The sequence below is a fragment of the Homo sapiens genome, chromosome 11 (genome assembly GCF_000001405.40).
Source record: "Homo sapiens chromosome 11, GRCh38.p14 Primary Assembly".
Lineage (NCBI taxonomy): Eukaryota > Metazoa > Chordata > Mammalia > Primates > Hominidae > Homo > Homo sapiens.
Window position 1 is genome coordinate 31,990,900 of NC_000011.10, and position 17,585 is coordinate 32,008,484.

Here is a 17,585-nt window from a genome sequence, read left to right on the forward strand (position 1 = left end):
TACTCCCCAGTTACCCCTATTTGCAAAATGAGTAAGATTACCCTTGGTTTGCGTTATGTTCAGTTGAGGAAGGCAGAGATACTGCAGGAGGTAGAAGCATAAAGCAAGGGCTCAGTAAGTTTTCTACTTTTTTGAAGCTCTTTTTACTTTTTTCCTCCTGACTCAACTTTTGCCCCTCCCACTGTACCCTAAGCAGCCACCACATTTGTGTAGGTCATGCTGGAACCATGTTTCTACCAGCAGCTGGTAGGTAAACCTCCAATGTAAGCTGAAACTCTGTTGAAGTTTGACCTGGCCAATAATGTTTTCAGGAGATGGCTGGAGATGGTGTGGCTAAGTTAGAATGGGAATCCCACCGTGGGGGCTCCCAAGCATCCCAGAGTTGAGGGAGACCCTTTAAACAGTACACTTGTCATGGATCTTTCTCTTAGGGAACAGACATTCTGCCAAGATGGCTAAGTCAGAATGAGTTCTGATGTCAGCAGTTACCCTGAAAGCATCAGTCCCTCTGATCTTTAAGCTACTTGCTAAATATGACTCCATCATGAAAGATTTAGCCAATCAACAGGTCCATCGAATGCCTACTCTGTGTCAGGTGCTATTCCACTATTCTAGGAACTAAGATACAGTGGCAAAGAACATAGACACAGTTTCTCACTCAAGAAACCTAGAGACACCAGCTTTCCTTATGAAGGATTCTCCCTCTGTGCCTCTAATGTCTTTTCTGGCAACTTGGCTTCCATTAGAGCCCCTATAAATCTATCAGATATATATCTGTGTATCTCATAATCCCAGCTGTGGACCAAATTCCAGTTCTTTTTCTCTGAAGGAACTTGGCTCTCACTATACTTAAGGCCAGGGACTCTGGAGTCATACTGTCTGTGTTCAATCCTGACCATGCTCCTCACTTATTACTGACCTTGGACAAGCTACTTAACCTTCCGTGCCTTGGTTTCCTCATTTGCAAAAGGGGGTAATAATAATAGTTAACACTATCAAGTGTCTACCATATATGCCAGGCACTGTTCCAAGTGCTTTAGATGTATTAACTCAAGATTCTCACAACAACCCTATACAGTAGGCCCTATTAATACTCCATTTTACAGACAGGAAACTGAAAGACAGAAATGTCAAGCAATTGACAACCATGGAATAAATCTTATAAGATCTTTTAAGGATTTAAACAAAGGACACAGCAAGTGGCCAATGAATTGCTATTGCTATCATTATGAATGACAATTTTAAGTGAAAAAAGTAGGATACTAAGTACTAGACAGAGGCAAATTTTAACTGTGAAGAAAAGCACATAGAAAAATCTAGAAGGAAATATATTAAAATACTAACAGTGGTTGCCTGAGGAATAGTTAGATGAGTATAGGTGACGTTTTTCATACTTCTCAGGACTTTTTTGTTTTGTTTTTTCAAGACAGGGCCTCGCTCTGTCACCTAGGCTGGAGTACAGTGGCACAATCATGGCTCACTGCAACCTTGACCTCCCAGGCTCAAGTAATCCTCCCACCTCAGCCTCCCAAATAGACTACAGGCGTGCACCACCATGCCAAGCTAAATTTTGTATTTTTTTTGTAGAAACGGGGTTTTGCCATGTTGCTCAGGCTGGTCTTGAACTCCTGGGCTCAAGCAATTCACCCACCTCAGCCCCACAAAGTGTTGGGATCACAGGCGTGAGCCACTTCACCTGGCCAAAAATTTTTTTTAAATAAAAGCTTTCCAAATCTTTTACTATAAGTACATATTTCTTTAACGTTCACGAAAAATAGTGCCAGAAAACCTTGGAGAAAATAAACTCCAAAGCTGCTCCTCTGGCCTAATTTTTTCAGGGGCCATTCCTGTTGCCCCTGGTGACAACTTTATATTCTCCTATTTGAGGGTTCTAGACTCTGTGGCATTCCCAAGGCCATCTGACTTGGTGACCCCCATTCAGGGATAGGAGGAGGCCTTCATGCATCCTGCACTTCCCCAGTGAATTGCAGATCCCATTACTCACTTAGCTTCATTATATCTTTAATTATGACCTTTTAGTCTGAATGAAAAAGAAGTATAATTTTGCTTTAAGAGATATGCCAGGCCTACGCTCCCAACATTTCTAGGTTTCATAGAAATTGCAGCGATCATAGAAATTTAACCTGATAATTACTGCAATATTTCAAGGCACACGGTTTCCTACTCTCTTAGAATAATTATGGGTTGTTGTTTTTTTCTCCCAAATTCTTTTATTTCTTCATTATTAAAGGTTATACTAGTTTCCATTGTATGTGCCTAGAGACATAGGAAAATGCAGGGCATCCTTATCCACTCTGGTTCATAGCACCCTATTGTGAAAATATGTTGTCCTTTTATTTTCCCCTGTTATTATTTCTCTTAGACTATAAGCTTTATGTGGGCCAGGAAAACATGTATTTGGCTCACTCTGCTTACAGCGCCTAAAATGGGACTTAGTACACAGCAGGCATGCTGTAAGTATCTGTTAAATGAATGCCCAGACAAATACATTTAGAAACAGATAAACTAATTGCATTTGTGAATTGTAAAGCAACCTTGGTGTCATCAAACTCCTGTTGAGAGTCCGCTCCGGAAAGAAAGCATGGGTCCACAAAGCTACAAAGAAATGATTGCAGCCAGAGGGGTTTCAGAATTCAGGAAGTCCAAATTTTATAAAGAATATCTAATTTAATTTCCCAGCAGCAATTGGGACAGAACCTCACGATCAAACAAGCAAACTGATATATTTTTCTGTGAAAATGTATGAGTATTTACATCAAATGGGACAAATAAAAACTAGAAGTAACCTCAAGTCAGTTCAGAAGACTTTTTGCTGCTGAATAATTCAGGTCAAATCCAGGTCTACTGTTAAATAAGTTAGAAGAACTTGTGGTTTTCAGAGCTTTTTGGAGTTTGGAATTGTAGGTAAGGACCCGGGGACCTTTAGGAGTCAGTAGATCCAAGTGTGTGCTTTAGAGCTGGCATTGTTCCATCTAGGTCCACCACTTCTTGGCTAGATTCTTGGGCAAACTGTTTACATTCTTTGTCTTCTGTTTTCTCATCTACAAGTAAGAATCATAACATGACCTAACATACAGGGTTGGTAAGAGGATTTAAAAGAATTGACACATAAAATCTGACCCCATAATAAGTGCCCAATAAATATTAGCTACTGACGTATTACCTTATTTCATGAAGCAAACAGCTTGTGAGACAGGTGTTATATTTTGGTTACCTGAAAGATGAGGAAACAGAGAGCGGGGCAGGTTAAGAACTGGCCCAGTCCAGGTGGCTCATGCCTATAATCCCAGCCCCTTGGGAGGCCGAGGAGGGAGAATTGCTTGAGCCGAGGAGTTCAAGACCAGCCTGGGCAACATAGAGAGAACCCGTTTCTACTAAAAAAAATTAGCCAGGTGTGGTGGCATATGGCTATATTCCCAGCTATTTGGGAAGCTGAGGTGGGAGAGTCACTTGAGCCTGGAAGGTCAAGGTTGCAGTGAACCATGATTGCACCACTGCGCTCCAGCCCGGGTGGGAGAGTGAGACCCTGCCTCAAAATAAATTTTTTAAACAAAGGTAGGAAACAGTGGCTCGTGCCTGTAAATCCCAGCACTTTGGGATGCTGAGGCCAGGAGTTTGAGACCACCCTGGACAACATGGTGAAATCCCATCTCTACGAAAAATATAAAACTTAGTAGGGTGCAGTGGCCCATGCCTGTAATCCCAGCTACTCAGGTGGCTGAGGCACAAGAATCTCTTGAACCCAGGAGGCAGAGATTTCAGTGGGCTGAGATCCCACCACTGCACTCCAGCCTGGGTGACAGAGTGAGATTCTGTCTCAAAAAAAATAAAAATGAAAGTATAAATAAAAAGAACTGACCCAAAGTTACACAATGGGGCAAGAACAGGGCAAGGATTTGAAACTGCACCTGCAGCATCCTGTCCACTACACAGGCCCACCTAAATTCTTATATCCCATTCAATATTCTTTTATCAGTGCTTACTCTGCTTTCCCTCTTCCAGCACAGAAATTTTGAGGAAAGACATGAAAAGCCCAGGAAAAATGGAAAGCGTTTAGATGCACATTTTATTAGCAGGTTCACTCTCTCCTCTCTCCTTCTTTCTTTCTCTTTTTGTTAAAAAGCAAGAGGCAAAAGAATTTGGCACCATTTCCATCATGTTGATTCTTCTGGGTTTCTCAAATGTTGTGATCCCTGGAAAGCCGGGATTCATGCTTACCTCCACTCTTCATTAAGGCGGCCGTGGCTGTGAGCTGGGGAAGACAGGCTGCTGGTGCGGTGGGTGGGCGTGCTGAATAACACCCGAACCACAGCTGTGGCTGCCCTTGTCAGAGTGCCAGCCTGCCTAACCCAGTCTGTTCTTGCCTGCTACCTGGCCCTCGCCCATCTGCTGCAGAATTCATAAAGTGCTGAAGATCACAAACATCTGAACCTATTATAGGTAACATACTTCAATTACATTCTGATTGTGGGCTTGGCTTCCCCCAAGCCTGGTTTGTAATGGTGCACAGATCAAATTCTCCCCACAAAAGAAGCACTCATCTCTAGGTAATCTCATCATGTTGGGTGTGCTTAAGAAAGAAGCCATTCTCCTAGATGCTGCTTTGTGTTATTCAGTTACCTGGCAAAGGTTCCCCCAGATGTAAATGACAGAGAGAAAGAGAGAGAGATGTAAAGGACAGGGAGAGAGAGAACTGACTTAAAATCTTTTCCCATGAACTTACCATGTTTGTGTATGGATCTGTAGTTTGCTTTCTCCACTATGGAGCAAGTGATTTGTTAGTTGAAATGACCTTAGCTCTCCTGAGGCTTATCTATCTTGGTTGTTGGCTTATATCACGCAAATTATGACCACTCTTCCAAGGACATCAAAGAATAAACTGCCCATATGTCCCTCAGACTGTGCTCACATGTCTCTTGCCTTGCCCCTCCCAAGGAGCTCTGGGCAGCACTTACCAGGCATAGTACCCTGAGCTGGAGCAGCACTCAGGTTGACCCAGTTAGAAGCCTGACAAGGAGGACATCTCAGCCTCTGTTCAAGGCTGCTTCCACTTTCGTTTTCTACTGAACTTGCAAACAAGCAGTTAAAAGAAACACACAAATGCCCAGCTGAGCCATATTAGAGCATAAGGCAAAAGGAAAAATCAGAAATATCAGTACTGATTTTATTTAAAATGTTAGTATTTTATACACACTGAATTTTTGCATTAATTTTGATTTTTCAACATATTGCATCAGAACCTGATTTATCTTGATTATGGAGTTTTTTTGGTGTTCTCTTAAATTTTGTTCCAAGTCCCAGCCCCAATATGCACCCATTGAGGAGTAAGACGCTGGAGTATTTATGCATCAACTCCTGCCCTCATTGGTTGGTTGTTGCTCAGGGAGCATTAGTTAACTCCACAGCACTTCTAGCTTGCCCGCTGTGCAGGTTAGACAGGCACCATCAGCGTCAGCCACAATGTCTGTCTTGGACTAATCATCTTGGCCAGAGAGAAGTAGCGTGTGATTGGTAGTCCTTTCCAGAAATGATGTGGCTTGAAGGAGCATTTCCCGAAAGAAGGCTTTGTATTCTGAGCAGCCCTGTGTCTCCTGAATGCTCTACATAGCCCTTTCTTAGATATTACAAGTCAATGCATTCCTTTTTTTTCCCCCTCAAGATAGTTTGAGTTGTGTTTATGTCACTTGAAACCAAAGAGTCCTGACTCTTGCAGGCAGACAGCTGAGAGTAGTGTCGAGCCTCATTAGGGTAGGGCAACATAGGTGTTGGGGGATGTATTAGTCAGCATTCTCTAGAGGGACAGAACTAATAGTATATAATTTATTAGGAGAATTGACTCACACGATTACAAGGTAAAGTCCCACAAGAGGCCATCTGAAAGCTGAGGAGCCAGGATGCCAGTCAGAGTCCCAAAACATCAAAAGTAGGGAAGTCTATGGCTGAAGGCCCAAGAGCCCCTGGCAAATCACTAGTGTAAGTCCAAGAGTCCAAAAGTGGAAGAACCTGGAGTCTGATATTCGAGGGAAGGAAGCATCCAGCACAGGAGAAAGATGGAGGCCAGAAGACCTAGCCAGTTTAGCCTTTCCACGTTCTCCTGCCTGCTTTTATTCTGGCTGTGTTGGCAGCTGATTAGATGGTGCCCACCCGGACTGAGGGTGGATCTGTCTTTCCCAGTCAACTGACTCAAATGTTAATCTCCTTTGGCAACTCCCTCACAGACACACCCAGGAACAATACTTTGCATCCTTCATTCCAATCAAGTTGGCACTCAATATTAACCATCACAGGGGACCAGTGGAGTATTCCTGCATTTGGGGCATCATGGGGCTTTACTTCTCTAGCATGTCAAGGTAGGCTGGAAGAGAATTTGGAGATCCTGGGTGGCTCACTCTAATTGGGACTAACAATAGCAGCAAACGTTTATGGCACAGTATGGTTCTAAATCATGTTCACCCTCCTATTTCTTTCCCCACCAAGGCTTAGAGGTACAGGCAAGGCAAGTTATACAATCCCAACTTCACGGATGAGGAAACTAAGGCTTCAACAATGACCCACCTATAGCTAAGTGGTAGCAGAGGATCTTGTCTTTTAAGTCACCAAACTCAAGCAATGAGACAGAACAATGGGGCTCATTTTGAAGCAGATTATCTTCCTGTTATTCTGTTGATGTAAACTTTAGTTCCTTGGTTCTATTCCACGAATTCTGTATGAAGTCACAAGTAATTGTCAGTGCTTTTCAGAAACAGGGACCTTGTCTTTGTCACCTAATCTGCAGCTCCCACACAATTCCTGGCAGGGATAGGTGCTCGGGCAATGTTTGTTGAATTGGATTAATACTGAGGAAGGAGAAGCTCAGAAAATTTCTGGCACTAGGCTACGCTGGACATTTAGAGGAAAGATGAAATGCTAAGAATAGGTCTGCCATCCACTTAATGAATGTACTGTGCCAAATGCTGGATGTACACCTCACCTGTATAGCAACTGCATAAAGTAAACATCGTTCATCCTGTTATACAGATAAGAAAAGAGAAGTTCAGAAAGATAAGGATCTTACTCAGTGACAGGACTGGGACTGAAACCCAAGTATGCCTGACTCCCAAATCTGTGTTCCTGAATCAAGTGTGCTCTGTCATTTGGAAGCTATACTAAGTCATCTTGCAATTCCATATAACAAGCTTGATAGAATGAATAGCCTGGTCTTATTTAAGGAGTTCCTTTTCCTCTCCTATCCTCTAGGAGGACTCCAGAGTTCTTTGTACTTTTGCAAATGACGGGTGGAGAAGCACCAGAGGTTCTGGAGTTAGAGTAGGTTGGAGGCATTTAGGGAGAGTTTGGAGAAGGAAGCCTAGGACAGTATGGAATATGAGGTGACCAGGAGAAGGAAAAGGGGATACAAGAGTGTTACTGGGGGCTTACGAATTAGATTCCTATTAAATCAGTAAATATGCAATTATTTTTTGCTTATTTGGAAGGTGCATATTTGAATGCCAGACTGCTGGGAACTAAAGGATGTGGGTCAATGGAGTGTCATAGGAAGGTCAGTTGAGCTGCCCTGGAGGGATCCAGGTAGAGGCTGGGCAGCACCCCAGTGAACGTAGGTAGGGGATCCAGGCATTGACTGGAGGAGAGTTGGACCACAAAACATTTCCAATTTTGTGTATCTCCAAATCTCCCACTCTGGCTAAGCATGAAGGCAGCCTAGCCATTTTGCTCATTCCTGCCACATGTAGTTCCCCTCCTGCCTTATCAAATGTTTATCTGTCCCCACCTCCCAACCCATCTTAATTATTTGCAATGATCCGTGATAGACACATAAACAACTCTGCAGCTTAAAATTCCCCCATCAGGCAAATATGAAATTATTCACATTTTTCTTGCAGGTTTTTCATGAAGCAAGTTGGTGATGAAATGACTCTCAAACGCCTTCCCCATTTTACGCTGGGGATTCTGCCTTTACCCTTTAATGGGTGTGTGTCTTCATGCCTCAGCTACACTGAGCGTTCTCCTTCCCTGTTTATGTTTATTTTGGAAGCAAAATGTGTTTACAAAATCAGTTAAAAAGTGTTAATGATCAGTTTCCAGAATACTAATGTGAATTCAAATTACTTTCACATGAATCAAGACAAATTAAAAAATGCCATTTGATCACAAACTGTTTTAAATTTGTGTTCTAAGTGGCGCAGCAAATCTGAATATACGCTTTTTAAAAAGAGCAGTTTAAAATAACCATTCTGATGGCATGAAGCAGTTTTGAATAAGAAGTCTCCTTCCAAGAGGAAAGGTCAGCTTTTGGGCATTCATATGGGAGAAGGTATGGGGTGACATGTGCCCCCCGCTTCCCAGAGAAAAATATTGTTTGTAATTGTCAAAATTAGGACTGAGCTATAAAATGTTCATGATTTTCATCTGTCTTGTTCACTACTATTTTTCCAGTGTCTGGACCAGAGCTTGGCACATTACAGGCACTCTATTTGCAGAATAAATGAATGAATAAAATCAGCTATATAAATTATAAAATTTAATCCAAGATTTTATTTGCTCTGAGTTAGTATAAAAATTTTGAAGTTCATAGCAAGACAGAGTAGAAAAATGAGGGCCATGGCATGGAAAAGTCACCAATTCCAAATCCATGTAATATTCCTCCTTCTTGTGCTCTCCTGGCCCATGCTGGTGACCCAGTAAAGTTCCTTCTGCCAATAGTAGCTTCTGACAGTCCGAGACACAAGGGACTATGTTGGCTTAAATGTGGCTTTTGCAGAATCACAACTGCTGTCTACCTGAATTTACCTGAATACCTTTTTCAGTGGTTCCACCTCCTACCTATAATGGAGATGGGGACTTGTGGGGTGACATTGTGCCGCTTCCAGGCTTTTAGCAGGCAACTTCTCCTGGCTCGGATGATCTAGAGCAGTGATTTTCCAGCAGTTCCTGGGGGTCTGGTGAGAAGAAGACAGGCCTGGAGTTGAAGGAGAGAAAAAAGGCTGGGCTGGCCTGTTGGAAGGAGACTTCCACCTCTGCAAGCATCCCCATCTTGTTTGGATTGCAAACTCAGTTGCCAGGTAAGATTTTGTTTCATTAACATCTTCAAGTGCTATTTTATTTTATTTTATTTTATTTTATTATTTTTTGAGACGGAGTTTCACTCTGTTGACCAGACTGGAGTGCAGTGATGCAATCTCGGCTCACTGCAACCTCCGCCTCCCAAGTTCAAACGATTCTCCTGCCTCAGCCTCCTGAGTAGCTGGGACTACAGGCGTGCACTAATTTTTGTGTTTTTGGTAGAGACAGCATTTCTTCATGTTGGCCAGGCTGGTCTTGATCTCCTGACCTTGTGATCTGCCTGCCTCGGCCTCCCGAAGTGCTGGGATTACAGGCGTGAACCACTGCGCCAAGCCTCAAGTGCTATTTTAAAAGATGGTGGTGGTTTGGGGGAGGATTGAAAACATTTATCTACACAGCTAAAGGAGCTGGCAAAGAATAAAGCTATGGTTCTGGATCCGGTTCCCCAAGGGGCACTTAACTGCCTGTCTCTGGGTTAATGCATGCGGGGCACACACAGTGCCTCTGCTAGAAACGATGCAAGCTGAGATTCTCTAGGCTGTTTTGCAAAGACTCTCCATGTCTCTGTTTTGGAATATGTTTGTATCACAGGCTTGGTTCTAGCCGAGAGGCTGTGTAGAAGCGGGTGAATTTGACTTAGATGTTGCCCAATGTTCCAAGGGATCTTTGGCTCTTGGCCCCCAGAACAGAATCAGATAAGCCCACTCATAAGCAACTTTGAGAGAGTCCAAGTCTATGCCTTCAAAGGGTAAGGAGCTGTTTCAGGGAAAGAAGGAACCTAGGCCAGGCACAGTGGCTCACGCCTGTAATCCCAGTGCTTTGGGAGGCCAAAGCGGGCTGATCAAGACGTCAGGAGTTCAAGACCAGCTTGGCCAACATGATGAAACTCTGTCTCTACTAAAAATACAAAAAATTAGCCGGGTGTGGTGGCAGGCACCTGTAATCCCAGCTACTTGGGAGGCTGAGGCAGGGGAACTGGTTGAACCCGGGAGGCGGAGGTTTCAGTGAGCCAAGGCATTTCAAAAAAAAAAAGGAAACTAAAGGATTTGCCAGTTGGGACAAAATGATGTCTGAGCAGCCTGTCGGGATTAGAAGCACTTCCTAGAAGTCCTGGAACCCCGGACTTACTCCTCATCCCCACCCCATCACTTAGACACTAGGCAGGAAATATCCAGTTGGATGCCAAAGTGACCCAATTGTCCCTCCTCAATTGTCTCTCTAAAAGCCAAGCAAGATGAGGGGAACGGCTTTGGACTCGGGCTGACTTGGACCACATCCCATCTCTGCCGCCATCTGAGCTCTGTGACCGTGAAGTGCTCCTACCACCCTTCTGAGCTTTTGTTTTCTTCACCTGTAAAAGTGCAGGAAGAATACTTACCTGTCACCAGAATATTCCAAGAATTAGAATTAATGTTTGGAAAGTTGTTGACACCTAGCAGGTACTCAAAAAATGGTGGCTATTACTACTACATTCTACAGTCTCTGCGCTACTTTGAAAGGACTTGCTTCTAGGGGAGCTTATTTCTAATGGGGAGATATTTTGGTTTTGAAGTAAAATCTATACCGTGTTAGATGGGAGGTGTGCTTTAGAGAAAAAATAAAGCAGGGATGGGAGACTGAGATGGCTGGGGAGCCTGAGGAAAGCCCCATTTATAGGTCTAAGAATGAGAGAGAGTTTCTTTCTTAAATTCCCTCTCCCTACTTTATCAAAGAGATTTTACTTCCAAATAAGTGTAAACGGGAAAAGGGAACAGAGCCTGAAAGACACTCAAAACAGACACTCAAAAATGCTGTCCTAGGGAGTCAGCTGGGGTGTCATCACTGACGTGGGACTTAGGGTGTTGAGCTGGAGTCCTGGTTTGTCATTTGAAAAGAGAAATCCTGATCAAGTTGTTGTACTGCTCTTTGACTCTATTTCCTTAACTGTAAATTAGAGGTAAGAATCCCTGTCTCACGTGCACGAGCAGGAGAGGCTTTCTGGTCTGTTGGGATTCTCAGATTCACAAGGATCAGGACGTGGCCATTGAAAGCTGCCATCCCAAGAGGCAAAACTATGGAAGATAGGAAGGAAATCCGTACTTACCTCACTCTGCTCCCTCCTCCTTTCCGTGCCTGCGTGCACACACACACGCATGCACACACCCTGAGGTTGTCAGGGGACTAGAGGTGTTGTCCTTGAAAGTGAAAGTCATTCCAAGGCAAAGGAAATGTACTGGTGTTGAGAAGGTTCGGTAGGGCCCCTTCCAACGGGAATGGCTGACTCGCCATGTCCTCTAAAGATGCTGCCTTGATTCGTGGATTTCAGCATTGTCCAAGCTCTGTGGCACCATGGACTGGTTGTATGTCACTGACAAGCAAATGCTTAGTCCTGTGCTGTATATATTTACTGTACCATATAAATAATAAACACTAATAACTCACTTCATCCTTTACGAGTTCCCCATCCATTTCCTGCCATTTCTGGAACTTTCATCACATGCTAGATGGTGTTGCTGACGTTTATTACTGGTTGCTCATATAGGGTGAGAAATCATTGTTGCCTCATGAATAGCTAGCATTTTTTTCCTCTTTCATTGAAAAGTTATTCTAACTCAATCTAAATTTCCAACAACCAGGAAGTATTTAAATAAGTCATCTTCCAACCATCTCATGAAATTACATAACCACTAAGAATCATGATTTTAAAAGCTATTCAACAATACAGGGAGAAAAATGCTCACATCACAATATTAGGTAAAAAAAGCAATGCAGAAAATCATCTATCCAGCGTGATCCGATTTTGCCCATACATTTATATGTAGATTTATGTGGGCACATTAAAAGACGTGGCAAAAAATGTTATTTCTGCGTGAGATGGTGGTGGGTGATTTTTATTTTCCACATTTTACAAATTTTCCACAGTGGACTTTTGGAAGCTGAAAAAATAGATTATTCCTTTATTTGAAAATTTTACTTTTAAAGGACATTTTCATAAATTTATTTTTAAATGTTATTTCTTTAAAACATTTCAAGACAATCTAATACATATAACAATAAAAACGCCAGCACTAATGTCTGCCTGACAGTGGCCAAAATGGGTGAGTGTGAGAGAGATGGGTTTGGCAGTCACTGTGAAACCAGCAATGAGGTTAACTCTGGTTTGGGGACTATGTCTTCGGGATCTGTGCTTTGTTTTGTTTTTTCCCCTCTAAGTATGGGTGTTCTATCCACAACATTCACAGTCCTACATGTAGACATATGACAGGTGTATTTTCTGTTTTCAGATTTATATCCACCTACAAAATTACCCTGTGAAAGCCCCATCACTCACAGAAACTATTGCTGAGGAGGAGAGGATGATTTTATTTAGCTAATTTTTAACAAATCTCCAATGTTGCCCACATCTCCTGAAGCTGGGAGGAGGGATAATCAAGTCAAGCCCCATTGACTAGGAGAATAGTGAACTGTGGAAAATGAGTTCTCAGCACGCCACAGGGCCACAACTCCATTTAAAGAACACGTTCATTATTCAGACACTCGGCCTTCTTCCGGGGCTGTTGGCCTGTCCCCAGGGCTGCCTCCATTCCCAGGGGCCCTGCAGCCTTCTGAGCCAGCCTCATACGCATGTTGGTGCTGGCAGCTGGTGTGGAGCAGCTCCAGGCACCACTGCAGTGGATCCCTGTAGCAGCGCTGAGAAGGACACGAGCACTTAACTGATGTTTTCGTTTTACAGATGAGGAAACTGAGGCTCTGATGGACGCTGTTGCATGCCAGGGTCACACAGCCAATCAAGGATAGCTGTACCCACATGTTTTCACTCCAAGACCATTGCCATTTCTAATGTGTGAAGCATCTTCCCTCCACTGGTCCAGCTTTAGAAGATGTGATTCTGACCAGCTAGCTTATGTTAAGATGGATATTTAAAAACCAGCTGTAAACAAAGATAAAAACAGCAACAACAAAAAAAGACAGACTTCCAGAATAATTATTAAATAAAATATATAAAAGATTGCAGTTTTGAGCTATCTAAATGTGAGACAAGCATAAAGGCAGACAGAGCTGAATTCAAACCTTAGCTTAGCCACTGCCTAGCTGTGTGACCTTACACAATATACTTAACTTCTCTGAGCTTCAGATCTCTCATTAATTGTACAGGGATTGTAAAATCCGGCTCATGTGCTTGCTGTAAGGGCTTAGCAAGATAATAGAGGTGAAAACTCTCCTTTCACTCTGCCCATATAGTAGACCCTCAATAACATATAGTTAATTTCTGTCTCCTCTTCCTCTGCCTCTCCCTCCTCACTTCTCATTTTTCTTCACTGATTCTTCCAGCAGTTCTGAAAAGGGGGGCAGGATGATTCATATGTTCAATAAACATCTAAGTGCCAAGCATTATTCTAGATGCTGGGGAGAGAGGGCACTTTGGAGACTCATAACCCCACATGGTAACCATCAGCAGGAGTGCCAGAGGGGCTCACACTTTTGGAGGGGTGCATCCACTTTGCTTTCTTACTTTATCCATCCAGCTCCTGCAGGCATTTGAGTTTATGGCCCTGATCTAAGGTAACGTTAATCAAGAATTTTCTAAGACTCTGTGGAAGCTGTTAGGTTACTCCCAGCAGGACCTGGTTTCAGGAGGGGCTCTAGTTGCAAAGCTCAAACCTATCAAAGCTGGCATCCATCCTTTGCTGGGATGCCTGGGAAAGACTGCAGCCCAAAAGACTAATAAATGAAGTGGTTGTCATTAACTATGTATTAATTCATTCATAAGTCACCCACCTCACAGTATTAGATGTAATAGATTCTAGGTACATATAGGGTGCTAGAGATGTATATCAGTGAAGAAATCTTTGTCCCTGGTCTTAAGGAGTTGACAAGTTAAGCAGGCATACAAGCTTATAAAGAAATCACTACAACAGAGCATGAAATTTGTGAGTCTGGGTATAGGGTACAGATGAGGAACCGCGGGAAATGAGGCTGAAGAAACAGACGGTGTTCAGATCACACAAGGTTTTGATGACCCTTCTAAGGAGCAGAGATTTCTTCTGAAGCAAAGAGAAACCAATGAGGAGTTTCGATAAATGACTTCCCCTTCTCCAAATCCATTTTCTTTCCATAGTTAATAATTTATTTTTTGAAAGTACTAGAAGGGGACTTAGAAATCATCTAGTCCAGAGGTAACAAACGGGATTCATCTGATGAGCCAACTCTGATCAGAAGGTGGGAGCTGTCTGTGTTGAGAAGGATTCTGCAGCCAAGTCTAGGCTCATTAAAACCACAATTGATTCATGATGTCTGCCACATACAAAGAAAGGAAAAGGTGGCATCCACCCTAAGAGTTGAATTATCATCTTTTTAAAGTAAGGACATTTCTTTGCACAAGTCACACAACTAGTTGATGCCAGAGCCAGGCCTAGAACCGAGGACTCCTGGGTTGCAGCAGAGAACCTATTCTCTGCACCATCTTCGCTCAGTCCTCCTTCGTGAGCAGGAGCAGAGCAGGAAACCTGGTTCCCATGACAACCAGCCTCTATGTCTCATAGGGTATCAAGACCATCCAGCCAGAGAGTGCTAAAGTAATAGGGGGAGCGCTTCTGTCATGTAACACTGTGTAACAAACCACCCAAAGTCTAAATGTCTTACAATAGTTTATTATTGTCTCTCATGATTCTGTGAGTTGACTGGACTCAGTGGGACAGTCTGCTGGTCTGGCTTGGGATGCTCATGCAGTTGCAATCAAACGGCAGCTGGTGTTGGAGCTATCTGGAGGCTCCACGGGTGGGACTGTGAAAATGGCTTCTTCCCTCACACCTGGCACCTCCATGCCCCTCTACGTAGTTTCTGTCTTCATCAGGAGCCTCACCCGCCACGGCCTCTGCAGGGGTCTCTCTCCAGTGGAGTAGCTGGACTTCTTACACAGTAGATGGCTTGCGAGAGTGTACAAGTGGAATCTGCTATGCCTTCTTAAAGCCTGGAAGCAGTAGAGTGTGATTTCTGCCACATCCTGTTGGTTATGGGTGAGTCACAGGTACAATCCAGATTGTTTGGAAGGGTGGGAGGGGACTGCACAGGGATTTGAACACCAGGAGTGCTTCATGGGGACTGGCCTGGGGGACAAACTACCACTGGAGTGAAAGCAACGGAAACCCAGCTGGAGTCTCAGTTGTTCCACCAGTAAGCAGGTGGCCTTGGCGAGGCCTGTCGGGATGCCAGTTTCCATCTCTGGACGGTGTCCCAGAGGGGACAAAGCTCCCGCCCTGGCAGTTAGTGCTTCTTCTCCTCCGCCTTTTCCCCTGCTCTCCCCCAAGACTTCTCAGGACAGTTTCTTCCTCAGCACTATTTTCCTTGTGGTGGAGTTGGAAGGATAGAAACTCTAACCAGCAGTCAGAGAGGGATTGGCACTGGACCCGACGTCTCATTATGTTGAACATCATTGTGCCAACCTAAGGGAAACGGTGCGGGTTGTTTGTTATCGATGGCAAATCTTCTTCCAAGAGTGGCGGGCCCTTCCGTCAACAACACAAAGTGTCCTCGCTCCCGGCCCCCTTTCCAGCCCTGTGACTCATCAGGCCTCTAACCTCTTTTTCCCCCACAGTGAGAAATATCCAAGTTGATAACAGCAAAAACTTGATAATGACTAGTGTTGGGAAGAGATTAAACTACTTGTAATTCCAAATTGTTCAAAATCAACTCTCCTGACCTGCCAGGATAGTGAGACTTAGAAAAACAAAAACAAAAACAAAAGCAGAAAACCAAAGCGGCAAAAAGAAACAACTTCAGAACACAAATTTAAGACACGAATTTTGCTCAGTTCCTAGTTTTGACTCTGAGCAATGGAGGTATTTCTAACAAAAGAAAATCTCCACGTCCGTCCTATGTTTGGAATATTCACTGGTGTGTAATTCCTAGAAGTGTGCTGAGAATGATTTCGATAAAGAGAAAGGTGCTTGACTTCTGAGATGCTGAGAATGATCTGTTTTTAAGGAACGTTTTTCAAACGTGAACAGGCCAATGAGAGAAATGGACTGCCCTCTGTTGGACAGAGATAGCAAAATCAGCCAGGGATGGAGGAGGAAGCTCTGTGGCAGTGGCTTCAGCCTTCTTGAGAAGGTCCTCTTGGGATCTTTTAATTGTGATGACACAGACCTCTCATTTAAATGTGGCCCAAGAAACACAGAAGTAAAATTTTAGAGACATCCACATAGATAAGATTTGCATTTCTACAATGTATCCAGCTATGTGTTTTCAGTTTTAACAGAGAAATGTCAAAAAATATACTAGTAAAGTGCAGGGTTTAGGGAGATACATATGTTAATAAGTATTTGAAGTTGAAGAATTGGGACTAGAGCTACTCTATTCCTAAGTTTATCAAACACAGAAATGGCTCATCTGACCTAAGATGCTGTATCCTGCAATGATAATATTACCTCAAAGGAGTTTTAGAGACTCAAACTGTCACTGTCTGTTTGAGGAACACAGTCACTAATTAAGCTTAAATGATGCTTTCCCCCACAAACATCCGTGATTATTATTGTTTTCTGCTGGCCAGGTCACCTACGGAATATAAAGAAAAGCAAATCCAGGCTTTGGCCCTCCCAGGGGAATGATCATGTCAGCAAGAATTCACAAGGACGTTGACTCCAGGGAAGGGAAGAGGCTATTTTTGTTCATTCACCTGCAGCTAGAGCTGCTCAGAGCAAGAAAGATTCAGCTATGTTCTACTTTTGCTTCCTTTCAAAACTAGAGAGCCATTTTCCCAAACACCTGTTACCCTTGCTTTAAAAATATCTTGAGAAGAGTGGAACTAGAGAAAGGAAGGAGTGTGAGGGAAAGGATTACAGAAGACAACATGTCTTCTGTGTGAATGGTCTTGACATTTCATACAACAATTAAGAAATTAGCAAAAAAAAAGGCACTCATCACTTGGACTCATTAACTCCACTTCTAGGAATCTATTCACAGAAATACTGGTAGAAACACCCCAATGTGGCTACAAGAAGGTCCACTGAAGCATTGCTTGTAATAATAGCAAATTAGAAACGACCAAAATATCCTGAATAGAGAACTGCCAGAATAAAGATGTTACACAATGGAACACCATGCAGCCATTTAAAACAAGGAGGTTCTCTGGGGGCTCACACGGACAGTGCACCACAATAGGTTCAGTTATTAAGTGACTAACACATGTTGCATAACAGAAGTGCTGTTTTCCATTTCTGTAAATAAAATTGTATTATTAATTGTAGTTTGTTGCTTAAAACGAAACCTGGAAGAATATACACCAGTCCATTAACAGTGGAAATCTCTAGGAGTTGGGATTATGAAAGGTGGCTACTTCTTAAATGTAATCGGTCCATATTGTTTCACATCTTTACCACTAGCATATATTACTTTTGTTATCAGAAAATACAGTTAACATTTGTTTCATTGGATAGATATGATTTTCTCTCAGCAGAAGTACTATAGGAAGCTACCCATTCATAGGTAGGAAGCACTTCACATTATCACTTTAATGATAGAATTAA

General features: G+C 43.0%; 3 long non-coding RNA genes across 3 annotated transcripts; 2 read left to right on the forward strand and 1 right to left on the reverse strand.

Annotated features, from left to right (window-relative positions):
• Positions 1–2,807: 2,807 nt before the first annotated feature.
• LOC107984420 (uncharacterized) lies at positions 2,808–4,954 on the reverse strand. The gene is made up of 3 exons (XR_001748489.2): positions 4,745–4,954; positions 3,185–3,235; positions 2,808–3,062 (listed from the first exon to the last, which is right to left on the reverse strand). It is a non-coding gene; the product is annotated as an uncharacterized LOC107984420 (long non-coding RNA).
• A 3,871-nt stretch (positions 4,955–8,825) lies between these two features.
• LOC124902657 (uncharacterized) lies at positions 8,826–11,506 on the forward strand. The gene is made up of 2 exons (XR_007062644.1): positions 8,826–9,080; positions 10,307–11,506. It is a non-coding gene; the product is annotated as an uncharacterized LOC124902657 (long non-coding RNA).
• A 628-nt stretch (positions 11,507–12,134) lies between these two features.
• LOC124902658 (uncharacterized) lies at positions 12,135–17,300 on the forward strand. The gene is made up of 2 exons (XR_007062645.1): positions 12,135–15,077; positions 15,656–17,300. It is a non-coding gene; the product is annotated as an uncharacterized LOC124902658 (long non-coding RNA).
• Positions 17,301–17,585: the final 285 nt, after the last annotated feature.